The sequence below is a fragment of the Homo sapiens genome, chromosome 1, assembly GCF_000001405.40.
Source record: "Homo sapiens chromosome 1, GRCh38.p14 Primary Assembly".
NCBI lineage: Eukaryota > Metazoa > Chordata > Mammalia > Primates > Hominidae > Homo > Homo sapiens.
The window spans coordinates 199,446,311-199,464,969 of NC_000001.11; the positions used below are offsets into that span (position 1 = coordinate 199,446,311).

At 39.1% G+C, this 18,659-nt stretch overlaps 1 long non-coding RNA gene across 1 annotated transcript, besides 1 other annotated feature; it reads left to right on the forward strand.

The window, feature by feature from the left end:
• Positions 1,717–2,217: an enhancer, noted in NCBI's record as "H3K4me1 hESC enhancer chr1:199417155-199417655 (GRCh37/hg19 assembly coordinates)". NCBI's record gives its function as "activates a minimal SCP1, AML or CMV promoter by ChIP-STARR-seq in naive H9 embryonic stem cells {active_cell/tissue: H9 hESC(naive)}" and the evidence as "EXISTENCE:reporter gene assay evidence [ECO:0000049][PMID:30033119]".
• On the forward strand, positions 2,669–14,124 carry LOC105371680 (uncharacterized). Its single transcript, XR_922402.2, has 5 exons — positions 2,669–2,757; positions 4,418–4,489; positions 6,392–6,548; positions 11,982–12,111; positions 13,854–14,124. It is a non-coding gene; the product is annotated as an uncharacterized LOC105371680 (long non-coding RNA).
• Positions 14,125–18,659: the final 4,535 nt, after the last annotated feature.

Genomic DNA, 18,659 nt, shown 5'->3' on the forward strand with positions numbered 1-18,659 from the left:
TGCTTCTTTCAGGAGCTCTTGCAGGGCAGGCCTGGTGGTAACGGAATCCCTCAGCATTTGCCTGTCTGGAAAGGATTTTATTTCTCCTTCACTTATGAAGCTTAGTTTGGGTGGATATGAAATTCTAGGTTGAAAACTTTTTTTTTAAGAATGTTGAATATTGGCCCCCAATCTCTTCTGGCTTGCAGAGTTTCTTCTGAGAGGTCCACTCTTAGTCTGAAGGGCTTCCCTTTGTAGATGACCTGGCCTTTCTCTCTGGCTGCCTTTAACAGTTTTTCCTACATTTTGACCTTGGAGAATCTGATGATCATGTGTCTTGGGGTTGATCTTCTTGTGGAGTATCTTAATGGTGTTCTCTGTATTTCCGGAATTTGCATGTGGGCCTGTCTTGCTAGGTTGGGAAAGTTCTCTTGTGTTTTCCAGCTTGTTTCCATTCTCCCCGTCTCCTTCTGGTACTCCAATCAGTCGTAGGTTCCGTCTTTTTTATGAAGTCCCATATTTCTTGGAGACTTTGTTCATTCCTTTTCATTCTTTTTTCTCTATTCTTGTCTGCATGTCTTATTTCAGTAAGGTGGTCTTCAAACTCTGATACCCTTTCCTACGCTTGGTTGATTTGGCTATTGGTACTTGTGTATACTTTACAAAGTTCTTGTGCTGTGTTTTTCACCTCCATCAGGTCATTTATGTTTCTCTCTAAACTGGTTATTCTAGTTAGCATTTCCTCTAACTTTTTATCAAAGTTCTTAGCTTCTTTACACTGGGTTAGAACATGCTCCTTTAGCTCACTGTAGTTTTTTATTACCCATCTTCCAAAGCCTACTTCTGTCAATTAATCCATCTGATCCTTTGTCCAGTTCTGCACCCTTGATGGAGACACATAGCAACCATCAGAGGAGAAGAGGCACTCTGGCCTTTTGGGCTTTCAGCATTTTTTCATTGATTCTTTCTTATCTTTGTGAGTGTGTCTAGTTTCAGCCTTTGAGGCTGCTGGCCCTTGGACGGGGTTTTTGTAGGCACCTTTTCGTTGTTGTTGCTGCTGTTGATACCATTGTTGTCATTTTCTGCTTTTCTTTCGATAGTCACGTCCCCCTTCTGTAGGGCTGCTGCAGTTTGCTGGGGGTTCACTTCAGACCCTAATTATCTGATTTTCTCCCATGCCTGAAGTTGTCACTCAAGGAGGCTGGAGAGCAGCAAAGATGGGTGCCCGCTCTTTCTTCTGGGACCTCTGATCTCAAGATGCACCAACCTGATGCCAGTAGGATCACTCCTGTATAGGGTGTCTGACAAATGGAGGGTCTCACCCAGTTGGGTGGCATGGGGAGCAGGACCTGTTTAACAAAGCACTTTGTCCCTTGCTGGAGAGGGTGTGTTTCGCTGGGGAGAAACCCACTCATCTGGGCTGCCCAGATTCCTCAGAACTACCAGGGGGAGAGGCTAATCTGCTGGTCCACAGAGACTGCAACCACCCCTCCCACTAGGGGCTCAGGCCCAGGGGGATCCGAATTCTGTCCCTGAGCTCTGGCTGTAGTTACTGGAGATCCTGCAGGGAAACTCCACCCACTGAGGAAGAATGGGTTCATGTTAGGCCTGAAGTGATGCTGCAGACTGCAACAGCCAGTGTATTGGGCTGTGAGGACAAATCTTGGGACCAAGCCATCCAGCCCCCCTGGCTCCAGCAGGGGAAAAGCACGGCCTGGAGCTATCAAAATGGGTGCCGCCCTTCCCCTGCCCAGGAAGCTTAGTGTGTTAGGCAGTTGCAAGTCCCAGTGCTGACTGCTGCCCCTCCCCAAGGAGTTCAAACTGCTTAGACAGCAGGCAGCTCCAGCTGGTGCTCGCCATCCCTCCCCCCGGGAGTTCAGTAAGGCTTAGGCAGATTCCAGCTGAGAGGCTGTAAGCATCTGTGCATTCCAGGGTTGGGACACTGGGCCCTGGTGGCATGGGTTTACAAGTGGGATCTTCCAATCCATCAGTTGCACAGTTCCATGGAAAAAGCACAGTTTCCCTGGATGGGTATCACGCTTACTCATGGCCTCCCTTGGCTGTGGGGAGGGGGATCCCCTTTCCCATGTGGCTCTCAGGTGGGCCACCACACCTCACTGCTCTTCCTTCTCTCCATGGGTCACGCTAGCCTTCTAGTCAATTTTGATGAGAGAACCTGGACACCTTGGTGAAGGATTCACATGCTTATTATGGAATCTCCGAACACTGCTGCTTCCAGTTGGTCCAGCAAACATTTTTGCAATAAGAACGATTATAAACATAAGCAAAACAAAGGTTCCCCCCAACCCTTTCTCCTATAACTTTTCTCCAGATCTCAAAAGGAATACTTAAATCTAGCAAAACTCAGATTCATCCAAATTAATTTTACTCCAAAGGGACATAAGTTCAATTAAGCAAGTGATTATTAGGACTTGTTGTGCTGTGGGTCACTGGGGAAAATTACTAAAGTTGAGCGATAAAAGGAATGTTCTGACTTCAGGTTGGCCTGGAATTTTAAAATTCCATTCCCAAGAAACTCAGCGCTGCATTCTTACTGAACTATTTACTGAATCAATATGGCTGGTTAATATTTTCCTTAGTAAGGAGAAATTCAATACTGAAAAAAATCCACTCAGAAGACTTTAATTGAAATGAGGTGGACAAAGTTAGATCACAATCCACAGGAACATGGAGGAGAGCTATGCAAATCAGCCTGAGGTTTTCAGAATGTGTTCCTAGATGAGAAAACGTCTCATGAACTGAGTTCTTTACGACGGGGTAAGGCAATGTTGGATAGGAGAAAGACTACTTTATACTAAGAAAATAAAAATAGCAAGGAAGGGTGACATAAATAGCCTGGCATTTTTGAAAAACCATGTTATTCAGTAAGAAGGTACTCAAAAGATAAGTAAGACTTAGCTAGGGAAAATGTGGAGGGAAGAGCATTTTAGGCAAGAAAAACAGAGTGTGGGAAGACCCTGGGGAAAGAAGGAACCAGGCACATTCGCAGACCTGAAAGAGGCCATTGTGGTGGGAGCACACTGAGCATGGTTGGGAGCAAGCTGAGGTCAGAGTGAATAACGAGGAGGGGCTCACCCACGCAGGGTCTCATGGGCATGTTAAAGATTGTATTTTGTCCTTAGTTCACAGAGATGCTATCTGGGTTGTACAGAGGAGTGATATTTTGAAGTGATTTTACTGGATACTATGTGGAAAATGAATTATGAGAAGGCAAGAATGACCACAGAAAGAACAATAGCAAGAATTTTCATTTGCCCCAGGAAGATATGATCATGATTTAGGCCAAGTTTGTGGTCTAGAGCTTGAAGGAAGATAAATGAATATGAATGATAAAATATAAGAGAACTTGAGTAATGGCTTGAATAAAAAGGATAAATTTATTCTATAGTTGTGGGAGATATTTGGGGAATTTTAAGATTTTAAGCAAGGATGTAGCTTTATCTGACTGTTTAAAAACAGCGTGGAAGACTGGAAGAAGAAAGGTAGTTTGGAATCAACAAAATCAGTCAATGAGAAAGAGAAAGAGGTTGTAATGATAGAAAATCTGTCGAAGAAGAAAACCCAGTGCCTAGTGACTCACTACAATTAGTGCCAATGGAGAATGGAATCTAGAATGAACAGATCTTTGTCTTGAGTTACTAGATGGAGAGTTGTGACTTTTACTGATGTAGAAACTACAAGAGGAGACAGAAAGTTGGGGGAATAAACAAACACATTTACCTTAACATGTGCTGAGTGTGTGGTGCCTGTGGGATATCCAAGGGGTTATATAGAGGGCTTTGGGGCTTGGGAGGAAAGTCTAGACATGCCAAAGAGAATCACAGTTACCAATGTATAGGTGGTATTTGAAGTCATACATTTGGATAATTGCTCAGTAAGAATATTTTGAACAGTTAAGATTCTAAACCCCTTCTCTCTCTGTTGTTGTTGTTGTTGTTGTTTTGAATATACTAGAAGCATAAGGCATATGTCCCTCACCACCAGTCCTTTCCTCCTCGATGATTTTGATCATGGCACCATGTTCATTCAAGGGAATGTAAGAGAGGGCAAAGGCAATAACCAAACAAAATAAAGCCCATATAATTTTTTATAGTCTTCATCTCACTCCCGAATTACTGAAAGCTACCAATATACGTTATTAAATATATGCATACCTGAGAAAACCAAAAATTGTCTAAAATAGTGGCCACCACACAGTAGGCTCTCAAAAAACATATGTTGAAAGTTTTCCATTGACCAGAACAACAGAAGACACTAAATGAAATTGACATAGAAAATAGCTGAAAAGAAAGAAGGCACACTAGGAAAGATGATGCTAAGGAGGCCCAAAGAAGAGATTAAAAACTCAAGAAAAAAATGTCAAAAATCTATGAGTGCATTTATCACACTCAATTTCATTTACTTCTCTCTTCTCTAGTTTAACAGATCTTAGGCTTTCATTCACCAAAATGCATAAGAATCACTTGGACAACTATTTCTGAGCTGCAAGGTAAGCAGGATGAACTGCAGGTTTGCCCTACAAGTCAGTCTTCTATTATTGCTACCGCTTTATCTATCACTCAAAACAAGTGTTAGAATGCCAGTGAATGAAAATGATTTCATTTTAGGGATTAATTATTGATAATAGCAAACCATCCCCTAACTCTTCTTAAAAGACAAATATTAGTAACAAATTATGTAAGACAAATCCCACAAATGATCACAATATCACATAATACGTAACTGTGGGGAGATGAGATTGAGAGTTGCTGAACTGGACTGTGAGCTCCTTTGAAGTTTTGCATTCTCAGCACCTGGCATATGGTAGGCACTCAATAAATGTTCAGTGACATAGAGCAAATTGAATTTCCAAACTGGGGAGCCATGGTTTTCTCTTCCTTTTGTCTTTATGAATGCTGATGGCATGTCTTGCCTTTGGCTGGCTACTACCTACTCATTCTCAAAGACTGTGTTTAGGTATTATTTCCAAAACCTTCCCTCAGCCTCCCACTCCTCTTCTACTCCCCTGCACTACACCCCCCACCACCACCATCTTTGGGCTGCATTAGATGCCCCTTGTTCACACAGCTGAAGCAATTGTGCATCCATCCTTTATGACACTGGCAATATCTGGAGACATTTTTGATTGTCAAAACTTGGGGGTGGGGAGAAGAGGCACTACTGGTATCTAGTGGGCAGAGGCCAGAGGTGCTTCTAAACATCCTACAATGCACAAGACAGCCCCCCACAGTAAAGAATTGTTCAGCTTAAATGGTCGATAAAGCTAAGGTAGGCGGGGCGCGGTGGCTCACACCTGTAATCTCAGCACTTTGAGAGGCCAAGGCTGGTGGATCAACTGAGGTCAGGAGTTCAAGACCAGCTGAACAAAATGGTGAAACCCCGTCTCTACTAAAAATACAAAAAAAAAAAAAAAAATAGCCAGGCATGGTGGCAGGCACCTGTAATTCCAGCTACTCAGGAAGCTGAGGCAGGAGAATCCCTTGAACCTGGGAGGTGGATGTTACAGTGAGCCAAGATCATACTATTGCACTCCAGTCTGGGCAACAAGAGTGAAACTTCATATCAAAAACAATAAATAAAATAAAGCTAAAGTAGAGAATCCCTGTGCTAAAGCATTCTTTTTCTCTCCTTGTGTTTATTGCATTATATTATAGTTTTTTGTATCTACACAATATGCCTTACAAGGTAAAGAAATTTTATCCACTTTATTCAAATATCTGGCACCACAGATGGCACTGCACTTACAAACCAAGGATCAGGAACTTACTGTGTTGCTGGAGCCTTTTGTTTATTTCTAGGGTCTGGCCTAGAAATTAAAATATGATAGATATTCAGTGAATTATGTAATATATATTACTAACTTCTTGACCACTTGAAATTCATCTTTTATCTTCTAGCCCATTCCCGTAATCTTGGAGAAATTTACCAGCTTCTTTGTTATCTTGATGTTTCTAATTAGAATCTGTTGTATGTGAATGTGGGGTTTTTATTTCTTAAGACTATATATACAATTTTGAAAGTAAACTTTTCCTAAGCTTTAATTCTTGGTGTACTATACCACTAGCATTTCTCCATTCTATAAAGTATCACTTTCTCTCCTTCATTGGCTTTCTATCTTTGTTCTAGTTTTCCAGATATAGTAAAATAGGCCACAAAAGCTATGGTAATTATATTGCCCAGTAGTTTTCACTGGGGAAAGATTTTTGAAAGCCTAAATTCGTCTTCAGTTATGGCCACTGGTTCTTCCTTATGTGCATGTTTCTTTACCTGCTGGAAGTACTTGCACAGGTTACTTAGGCATAGTTTGTTTTAAAGAAAGACATGGTATCTTATTCCATCATTAGTTTTGTGTTTAAATGCTTAATGAATTTGCTTTACATTCTTTGTTCAGCTGGCAATGTCTGAGGCCCCCTCAAAGGATAATGTGAGTTCCCCTGAACAATCTGGGCAACAGATGTCAACCAGGGAGAAGATGCTGGCAGTAGGGTTCCCGGGAGTTGAACATCTGCCTGACCTCCTACTGGGCTCTTCTAATGCTGCAGCCTAAGGTACTTACATTCCCTAACCTTAGTGGCTCCACTGTTAAAGCAAGCATGATATTTACTACTCCCTGGTCTTCTAAAAAAGGAAGATCATGGCATAGCAGTATTAACAAGGACTTTGGAGTCCAAAGACCTGCTTTAAGACTCAATGCTGTTATTCTTTAGCCACGTGACCAGAAACATTTTAAAATCCATTTTCCTTACATCTAAGCAAAAGATATATCTACTTCAGATGCTTAATGAATTAATGCATACAAATATTTAGCAAAGGATGGGACTCATGTTAGGTATTCAGTACATGAAAGTACCTTACTTTCCTGTAATTTTATTCTATGTCATTCCATAACAGTTACTAGAATTCAAGCATATGACTTACTTTGAAATCCTTTTGTTTTTTAATGAAAGAGTGATAAGTGCATTGAATCACAGCAACAAATTTTATTCTCTGCATGAGGAAATGCAAAAGGTAGCAATAAGGCACAGTGTGGATTTTCTTGGTGCAGCTTTGGAAATGGTAATAGATCTCAATGAGCCTCTCTGATAAAGTATTCCCAGGTAACTTTCTCTTGAGTTAGCAGCATGCTAGCCTTGCGTTTTTTCGGATTTTCATGTGGCTGTCTCTCTTGTCCCAATCACAGGGACCAGAGATTTCAGCCAGTTAATATGTTGCATACTGTGAAGTAGATGCTATTGTAAATTAAGGCAATATATGAGAATACACTAGAAGCATATAGAAATCATTTGACTGTTTTTTACATTTCCACACTTTTTTGCATAATTACCTAGAGGACACCTTCCAAATCTCCTCAATAGTCTGTCACAAATCACCTCAAGCTGCACATCATAACAGCTGAGTCCTGAGAAATACTTGAAAAGCAAAGCAACTCTGAGACTCTCCAGTGGCTCCATCCTACTCGTTTTCTTTTTCCACAGACTAGATTTTGTGCCTGGGTGATCACTTTTCCTTTAGTAAGAAGTAAATTGTATTTCAGCTGCTGCTGTTAGATGTTTGGAACTCCACAGCATCTTTGATTGCTGAGACATCGTACACTGCATATAGAGCCAGCTTTAATGACGTGTTCATGGGAAATTAGTCTGCCTCATCAGGCACTGACATTCATCACAACTGCTCTGGTAATGGGAGTTGCTGATTTGTTTGCCAAGTAGATGGTTTCTCTGAGATCAATGTTCAAATGGAGCATTATTAGTACTAATAATATGCTGAAGTCTGTGCTATAAAGCCCTTCAAGTATTCAATTATTCTTTTCTTAAAATCTGACAAATGCTTCCAAGCTTCAACAACTGGTATTTTTAACTAGGAGCTTAGCTGTGGTAACTTTTTAAATTTTTTAAATGATGTCAATTTGAGAATTATCTTCTCAGCAGATCCAATATCATTTCCATTCAAAGCAAATGCCTAAAATTCATTTAAAAGCAAAACATTCAGAGGCCTTTTGCATTCCTGTGTCCACTCTTGCCTGTTCCTCTGTCAAGAATATTTACCATTTCTCAGATACCACTAAGAACATTAAAATTCAGATTTAAAAAGATAATAAATCATATCACGCAAGTTGAGGAAACCCCAACTATCCTTTGTGTTGATCCCAAAGAAATCATCGTACATTTTGATTTATAACAAATAGACATATCTTATAAGATTTTAGAAAGTTGCTTATGGCAATGAGCATGTATCTAATAATAAATATGGCAAGTGCAATTCTCAGCCCACTAACCCAGAAGTGTGAGAAGTATATCTTCCTTTCTTTTTCTGTCACTGAATTTGTTTCTAATTTAAAACCTCATTTGCCCCTGTTTTTTTTAATTTCAATCCTGGGTCTTTCACATGGGATCAAAACTTTGGGAGGGGGAGATCTAATCTGGTCCTTGGTGTCAGGATTGTTATGCTGGTATCTACTATGGCAGCTTCATCTCCTCTGCTCCCTCCTGGGACGTGTAGGTCTGAGTTGTGCTGTCTTGCAGGCCTAACCCCATGGCCCCATGGGGTTTTTCCCTCATGATTTTGGTGCCCCTCCTTTGGACATGGGCATCGTTTTCTTGCTCCTAGATGACACTAGGCATGAAAATTATGTGGAATTAAAATGCTGTTGACTTGTAAGTCACCCATGAGCGTATGTATGACTGACCTTGTTCTGTCTCTTGTAGCAGGCTGCAGGGGCACAGGTTTCTGCTACTATTGGCTCTGAAAAACTGTCAAAGATGTCTGCATTTCTCTCTAATCCCTAGGACTCACAACCAAGGTGGAGAGTAGTACACAGGACCCCTTTACATAAACCAGTAGACTTAAAGCTCTCCTGGTTTCTCTTCTAAGGCGCTTCCCACACCCATCTGGGAAAAGTGACATTTGTCTCTAGGCAGGAAGCCCTGCTCTGAGTCCTTCATATGCATTTTTTGAATCTGTTATTTTGGCCCTGTGTCCCCTTGTGGCCTCTGCTTTCAGCAATAAAAAAGGAAGAAATGGTTCTTTTTTCTTCACTTGCTTCATAAAACCCCTTTCTAAAGCATTTAAAGTTTAATGGCCAAGTGCTCAAACTGGAGAAGGGTTAAGTAGCGTAAGGAAACATAGGAATAAAACTTTGTTCCAAATTTCATAATACTGTCACACTGCACTCAATATTATTGAGTTCCAAATCTGTTACACTAAGTATTAACAAAATTTCAGGGGAGCTCCCTAAACTATTTATAGAACACTTTGTTTTCAGCATATAACCAATATTGAAAGCAATGAGTAAAGGGAATCCTAAATATACACGTCTCCTAGGGCTTTACTCTAAATGACTTTGAAATTTTCGGACTCTGAAAATTAATTTTCCCAAATCAGGTCCCTTGAAAAGTAGTCTCTACAAATAGAAGGCAGAAGGATGATGAAGATAAGCAGGAGAAGAAAAATACATAAATTGGCCAGAGACCAAACTATATTTGGCTTCTTGGATTTCAACATTGATTTTATTTTATTTTCCCAAATATTATAAACATCATGAGATCCTATAAACCATAACAAGCAGATAGACTGCCTTACTGTACCCCATTTTATATTCTCTTTTCTCTGCAGGCAATAGTCATCTTCATTAACAGCTCTTTGTCTTCCAAGTATTTGTTTTTTGAATCATTTTTTCTGGCTGAATGAGTTGTTTTTTTCTGAGCTTCCCAAATACTGTGTTGAATTGTTAGAATTAACAACATGTTGTATTCATTTGATTAGGTGTTTTACCTTTGTATTACCAATGCTTGGCATAGCATTTGGATGTTCATAACATGTTAAATATGGGGAGAGGAGAGAAGACGAAGAGGTAGGTAGGTTAGAGTTAACCTTTTCAAGGTACAGTTGGGCCATAAGGTCCATTGATTTCTTCAGTCAGTCAGTTATCCAAAAATACTTATTGAGCAACTACTATATGCTAAGCACAATTTTAAGCATTAGGTTTAATAAAGTGAATGAAATAAAATCCCCACTGAGCTTTCTAAAAGGAAATGAAGACAATAAACAAACTATATATATATATATACACAAATATAGAATATCAGGTTATAATCAGCAGTCTGAAAAAAATAAAGCAAATAGAAAAATAGAGTGGGTTCCAGATTGGGAGGGTATTCTTTTATAGAGAGAGCAGTTAGAGAGGTCCAACCACCTCAGATAAGGCCCTATTTGAGCAAAGAACTAAAGAAATAGGAAAACAAACAATGAGATACCAGGGATAGAAGGGAAAGGGGAACATTTCATGCAGAGGGAACAGTAAGTACAAGGGCACTGGGGAAAGGCAGTATTCAGTACACTTCAGAAACAGCAAAATGAGGCAGTAAGGGTAAGCAAGAAGGATGGTAGGGAATTAACCCAAGAGGTCTTTTATGTCAGTATTTTTAGTCTATGACAAAGATTTTGGATTGTATTCTGAATGAGATGAGAATTCAGCAGAGGATTTTGGAACATAAGATTGGTGTGATCTGATTTATGTTTTTAAAAGATCATTCTGAATGCTGTAGTAGAAAAGCCTGGGAGTAAGGAGGAGAGCAGGAACACTGGTTAGCAGGTTATTGCAATAGTCTGGATGACAGATGATGGTGGCTTAGGCCACGGTTGGAGAAGTGGAAGGATTCTGAATATATTTAGAAGACAGACCCAACAGAATTTCCTAATGGAATGATATGGTTTGTTAGACAAAAATCTGCATTAGGGAATGTTTTTTAGATTTGAGAGTTGACCAGCTCAGTAAATGGTACTGCCATTTCCTGAGAAGAGGAATACAGAGGAAAGAGCTAGTGTGAGGCAGGAAGGGAACAGAGGAATCAAGAGCTGTGCTCTGAACAAGTCTACTTTGAGATGTCTGTTTGACACATGCAGGTAGAGATGTGGAGTAGGGCGATAAAACAAGAGTCAGCAGTGGAGGGGAGAATGTGAGGCTGGACATACGAACTTGGAAGTCAGCAGCCTATAAATATTTGTTTAAATCACAGAAATGGGTGAGATTACATAGTTAGTATAGACAGAGGCAGAGGACTGAGCTCTGGGCACTCCAATGTTTAGTCAAAATAAGTAAAAAAGAGGTTGAAGAAAAAGAGGTGATCCTCTATCACGAATGTCCTTTGCTGTGATATACTCCTCTACCTCTTATGTTGAGGGCAGAAAGGTGTCTTCTACCTCTTCCATCCAGGAGCTATGATGTGCTCCTCTACTTCTGCTGTTCAGGTAGGCGAGATTTTAGGGTGGCATGGTCAGTTGCATCAAATGCAGTCAAATGGCAGGTTAGGAGAAGGAATGAAGATTATGGATTGAATTTGGCAATGAGGTGGTCATTCAAGACATTGACATAGTCAATTTTAGTAGAGTAGTGGGACTAAAGTGAAGGAATAGCAGAAACATAAAGAGGAAATACATAACTCTTTATGGAAGATTGGCTATAAAAAGAGTGGGAAAATAAGGTGCAGTGAAACATGGATTTGGGCAGAAAAAGTGATAATTATAACTTTTAATTTTGAAATGACACTAGCCTTACAAGATGTTGCAAAAGTATTACAGAGATCCCACATGCCCTTCACTCAGCCTCATGGTAATGTGAAAGATTTAACAATAAGATATATTACATTTTTGTTTTCTTATGAGAACTACTCAGTGTATTAGAGAAAATGGATAGTATAGAATAGACTACAACCATGAGGACATTTTGTAGGTGAAGGAATAAGGTCCTGTCAGGCTATTTCTATTTCTTCACATGCTCAGCTTCTTATTTAGTAGAGAAATGAGGGCCTATCTGGTGAGAACTCATACATTTTCCCACCAATAGACACCATATACAGCATATCTTTCCACTAGGAACAGTCATGTTCATATTTCAGTCAAACTCTTCCACTTCTGCACCAAATCTTATCCCTCAGTTTGGAAATTATTGTTGCATGTAACTTTGTGTCCCTGCACGATCATAGGTGGCAGCTGTGGCTGTAGTAGATGAAATTCAGAACATCTGGGGCATTCTATGGAGGAGAAAGAAACAAGCTTCTGGAAGCAGCAACATAGAAGAACATTAATTCTCTCCCCACCCAGTCTCACCTACAGGTAGGTAAGAGAGGAAAGAAATCATTTTTCTGCCATAGCAGTGTCCTCAAGGAGCAATCAGGCTTTAGTATGAGAAGGTAAGGATACTTTCACAGAAGAGGGTGAGGATATAGGGATTTTACTCATGAAAAGTCATGTCTTTCATAGGAATAATAAAAGGGTTCAGAGATGGCTGGGCGTGGTACCTCATGCCTGTAATCCCAGCACTTTGGGAGGCTGAGGCGGGCAGATCACTTGAGGCCAGAAGTTTGAGACCAGCCTGGCCAACATAGTGAAACCCTGTCTGTACTAAAAATACAACAGTTAACTGGGCATGGTGGTACGTGCCTGTAGTCCCAGCTACTCAGGAGGCTGAAGCAGGAGAATCACTTGAATTCAGGAGGAAGAGGCTGCAGTGAGCCGAGATCATGCCATTGCACTCCAGCCTGGGTGACAGAGCAAGACTCCGCCTCAAAGAAAAAACAAAACAAAACAAAAACAAAAAAAACACACCAGCTCAGAAAGTCAAAGGGTTTAAGATTGAGATAGATTAGGGAGAGTATAGAAACTTACTGGGGAGAATCTAGGCCAAAGATATGATCTGGGAATCTTGGGCTTCATGTAAAGATTGAAATAACTTAGGATAAGAGGAATAATAAGATTAATACTGATTGTATCTTGAGATAAGAGGGAAAATCAAATCTAATTATAACCTCCTTCCAAGGACTAAATATTTTTGGCAACCTAAGTGAGAAAGTGGAAACGCCAATGGGGTGAAAATGGGGTCAGTCAAAATGGGTTGCCTTTGTCCATCTTGGCCCAACTTTGCAAATGTGAATATGGAAGATACATAAGGGGTGGACAAAGAGAATTTAGTGTATGTCAAAATAGAAATCACTGCTACCCTTCATAAAAAACTATTTATTCTGAATAAGTGGATTCAGAATTTCTCTCATGTTTTGGCCTGAGATGAACTAGAGCTTACTGTTTTGTAGTATTTGAAGATAAGGTTTGCTCAGCATATTATTAGTACAAATAATATTGCAGATGTTTAACTTAGAAGAATTCTTTCAGGGACATTTGCACATGAATGTGTTAAATTGATCCTGTTAGTTACAAATGAGTCATTTCATTTGTTATAAATATATGGTATGAGGGCATTTTCACACAGTAAAATCCTGTTTATAATACATTCCAAAAATGCATGCCTCTATAAATGTATAAATTCATGCTTATTCTAGTAGGAAATGTTTTTCCCAATTTTGTCTCAACACTAGAAAACTTAATTTTGTGCCCAGTTACATAATCTTAGATAACAGTAGCATCTACTCCTGCTTCCTTTATAGTCTTCGTTCTATTGAATACTTAAATGTTCAATTTTATAATCATCTATTAACCTGTAAACCACCTCCAGACGATTTCAAAGAAGAGGGAAGCAGCATGGTTTAGTATCAAAAAATCCTACAATGGAAATCTCTCTGATTCTGCCATTAACTAGCTATCAGACCTCCATCAAATCACTTTACCAAATTAGATATAAGTTACTTACAGGGATTGAACTAAATAATCCTTTGAAGTTTCTTTCAAATCTAAATTCTATGATCATTAAATCTTAAATTATCAATAAGCCTAATTTTTGTGTGTTTTAACATGAAAATTTCTACATGAAATTTCTCATTATCATATTAAAAACTGATCTAAGCTCAACAATTTAAATTAATAAGCACTTATTGTTTTGTTTTGTTTGTTGTTGTTGTTTCTAGAGACAGAGTCTCGCTGTGTTGCCAAGGCTGGTCACAAACTCCTGGGCTGAAGTGATCCTGCCACCTCGGGCTCCTGTGTAGCTTGGACTAAAGGTGTACACCACCGTGTCCAGCAAACATTTATTTAATAATTTAATGGCACATTAATGGGACTTATTAAAAGTGAATGGTATACAAAGACAGACATTGACTATCATTATACTATCTTCTTTATTACGTGGGCCTTTTTAAATATCTTTCTAATTGAAAAATAAATGCATATTGATTATTGAAAATTTACAAAATAAACTAAAGACAAAAATATTACCACCAATTCCAACAATCATTAATTATATATAACATATATAGTATTAATATATTAACTAATATATATATAATTAATATAATATATATTTATGTATTATCTATATATAAAGTATGTGTTTTATAAATATATAAGTATATTATAAATGTGCATTAATAAATGTATATTTATTTATATATTCATAGAAAAGAGGCAAGTGTGTATATTCATAGAAAAGATATCAAAATATATAGAATATTCTCCTTTTTGTGAATATACAAATAAATTGTTAGTCCTACTTATGCTAGTTGAGGAATATATTGTTTCTTAAGCTGTTTTATTCCCCCTTAGATATTAAACATTTCAATATTATTAGAAGTACATATTTTTGAAAAGATAATTTTAATTTTTACCTGTAGCCATTATGCAGTAACTGTTACTGAATTTTCTTCATAGAAAATGATTAGAAAACTGGACTAAACATGAAACAACAGTTTATAGGCATCAAACAAGCACCACACGTCTAAAAGAGGAGAGAGAAGCGTGAGTCCTAATACTGCCCTGGCTTCCTGTTTGTAAGCACTTTCTAGACTACAGTGCAAAAATGCAAAGCCCAGGCAGAACATGTCTCATGTAGCAGAAGACACAGAAATCAGAGTTTGGGGAAGTCAACACGGCTGGAATTTAAAAGGCAGAGTGCCAGAAAAGAGATATACAAAGAAATAAAGAAATACAGAACTATGCATAGAGTTGAGGCTTTGGCTGAACACTAAGCTGAGCATGAATAAGGAGAGAGACTCCATGAGTTTGAACAAGGAACTACCAGGGAAGTAACAACCACTGGGAGTTGCTGAAACAGGACTGGAAGTTGTTTCAATTCTGACCAAAATGAAAACTACTTAATTAAATCCCAGTGCATTTAGTAAAGACTCCAAAAAGAAAATCTTAGTAGGGCTAAACTAGATCTAATGTACAGACTGCTATAGAACCTTCCTAACAGAGCTAAAAAATAAGCTTTGAAAATTAGATGGACCTGTAAGTAATGTAATGTAACTGCCTTCCAAACAAACAAGAAACATCTAGCTCTTTAAAAGAGAAAAATATCCATATCATCAACAATATAGTATTTATAATGTCTAGCATTTGACCAAAAACTATCAGACATGTGAAGAAAATAGGACTCATTTTAAACAGAAGAAAAATATCAGTCACTAGAAATACACCCAAATATAATGAAAGTAAACAATTTTTAGAAGTAGTTTCAAGGACTTAAAGAAAAAGATAAACATAATGAGACGGAAAAAGAAATATTAAAAAAAAAACAGAAAGAACCACTAGAGCTAAAAAAAAAAAAAGTAGTACTCAAAAAACATACTGGATAGAATTAATAGGAGATTAGACATTTCAGAAGAAAATGTCAGTTAATTTGGAGATGTTGCAATAGAAACTATCCAAACTGAGGCACATAGAATAAAAGGTGAACTGGAGAAAATTAACAGAGATTTCATGAGCTCTGGAACAACATCAAGTGGTCTGAATTTACTTATTCATAACAGGAATAAAAGAGAGGACATCACTACAGATATTATAGACATTTAAAGGTTAACAGATATTGTGAACAAATGTATGCCAATAAGTTTGACAACTTAAATAAAATAAACAGATTTGTTGAAAGACACTAATTATCAAAACTGACAAATAGGACATAGAAACTTTGAACAGATCCACATCTATGAGGGAAACTGAATTTGTAATATAAACTTTCCTTCAAGTTAAGTCCTGATCCAGGTAGACTGTCTGAATTCTATCAAACATTTACATAGTACACAGATCTTTCACAAACCCTTTCAGAAATCAGAAGAGAATAAAACATTCTCAACTTATTTGCCCTGAAAAACAGAGTGAAAAATTAGAAAAAAATAAAATTAGGAGTAGACATCTGCAAAATGGCAGAATAGGAGGTAACCCTCTCACATCCCCAAACAACAACAAAACTTTTGCACTTATCCACAGACAAAGGTCTCTCTGCTGGAGCCTTAGGATTCAGATTGGAAGTTGTGAAATCTTAGTGGAGCCCAAGATCTAAAAGTGTCATTTTGAGAATGCAGACTGACACCCAGTTGGCTGATCTACCAATTACGCTCCTTGGTTCAAGTCTGAAAACAGCCTCATTTCCCAAAGGGCTTGGCTACAGCCCCATATGGCCTTCAGCATGCAACAAAACCATCAGCCAAGCTGTCCAGGAGAAACTGCACACACTAGTACCTTGTGGAGAGGCTTATCTGTCCACTGACATCAGGGTCAGCAGTGAATGTGAAAGTTCCCCTGTAGCTTGACCCCAACCCCCTCAGCTGAGGTCCCAGCTCAGAACTGCTAATATAAGGACCTAGAGGGAAATATGACCATATCTCTCAGCTCAAGAGTCTGAGCCTCCATGATGGGCTTGCCAACATCTGTCCCATAACAGATCTTGAGCATGCCTTGTCTTAGTTCCAGTCCTTCCTGCTGCAGTGGGGAAACAATCCTATCTGTGCACAAGCATGCTGGAAAATTCATACCCACACCCATCTAAGCCAACAATATTGGCTCACCACTGTCATCTCACAGAATATCCCAAGGAAGCCCAGTCTCAGCTTTGGCCCTCCCACAGCAGTTGGATAACTGTACCATCTGTTTAAGAACCTGCTGGGAGAAACATGCGCCTCTGAGCCAATGAAACTGGGCTCTCCAACCTCCATCCCACAGCAGATTTTGAGGTGGCCTAGTCTCAATTCTGGCTCCACTTATGCTAGTTGAGAAACGACCCCTCCTGTATAGAAATTTACTGGGAAACACACGCTTGTCTGAGTCAATGAGACAGGCTTGCCAGCAGCCATCACATAGCAGGTCTTGAGGGGTCCTAGTCTCAGCTTTGGACCCTCCTGTTACAGTCAAGGAAATACCCCTACTTGTGCAGGGTCCTGCTGGGAGACAAATACCCATTTGAACCAACAAGATGGGCTCACCAGCCTCCATCCCACACAAGATCCTGAGGGGGTGCAGTCTCAACTCCATCCCCTCTGCTGCAGTCAGGGATCTATCACCTGCATAGGGCCTGCTGGGAGGCACATGTGTCTGGGCCAACAGGACACTCTTCTGGGGGCAGCTCCATGACCAGCTTTTCCACACAGCCCCAGTACGCTCTTTGGGTCTTCCCTAGGTACATTCAGGCCAGAGAGCCACATCAACCTTGGAGCTCTCACAAGACTCACAGCAAGCCTGGGATTAGAGCACCCTCTAGTGCTAAGACAACTGCAGTTATCACATGCTCAGAAAACACAGTTATTACAGGCTCAGAGATCTGCTTGGAATCTCTGGAAAGCCTCTGAATAAGGACTGATATAAACAAAGCCAGACTGTAAAGAATGGAATAAATACCTAATCCTTCAATGTGCAGACATTCTCACATGTCTGCAAACATCAGAAATATCCAGGGACTATGACCTCACCAAATGAAAAAAATAAAGCACCAGTGACTAATCCAAAGTGATAGAGATCTCTCAAATAAAATAGCTGTTTTAAGGAAGCTCAATGAACTTCAGTAAAACTCAAAGAAACAATTCATGAATTTTTCAGATAAAATTAACAAAGAGATTGAAATAAAACAAAAACAGAAATTGTGGAGTTGAAATACATAATGGATGAAATGAAATGAAAAGTACAATAGAGAGCATCAACAGCAGACAAAAGAATCAATGAGCTTGAAGTCAGGCTATTTGAAAATACATAGAGAAGAAAAGAGAATAAAAAGTAATAAAGAAGGTTTATGGGATCCATGAGACAACATTAGAAGAGCATATAGTCAGGAAGAGAAAGCTGGAAAAGTAAAGGTGTAAAAAGCTAAATCAAAGAATTAATACCAGATAACTTTCCAAACCTAGATAAATCTATAGATATTCAGGTATAAAAAGGTCAATGGTCACCAATTAGATTGAACCCTGTATTAGCTCATTCTCACACTGCTATGAAGAAGTATCCAAGACTGAGTAATTTATAAAGAAAAGAGGTTTAATTGACTCACAGTTCCACATAGCTGCGGAGGCCTCAGGAAACTTGCAATCATGGCAGAAGGCACCTCTTCACAGGGTGGCAGGAGAGACAATGAGTGCAAGAGTATTAATAAACTTAATAGATACATTTAACATTTAATGGTAACTGCCATAAGCTTGTTTAGGAGCAAACTTTCTAAACTACTAGAGAAAATAGCTGTTACTGTAACGCAGGTGTGGAGTGGTTATATTAGTCTGTTCTCACACTTCTATAAAGAACTGCCCGAGACTGGGTAATTTATAAGGAAAAGTTTAATTGACTCACACTTCTGCATGGCTGGGGAGGCCTCAGGAAACAATCATGGCAGAAGGGGAAGCAAGCGTATCTTACATGGTGACAGGCAAGAGAGAGTGCATGAAGGAGGAACTGTCAAACACTTATAAAACCATCAGATCTTGTGAAACTCACTCACTATCACAAAAACAACATGGCGG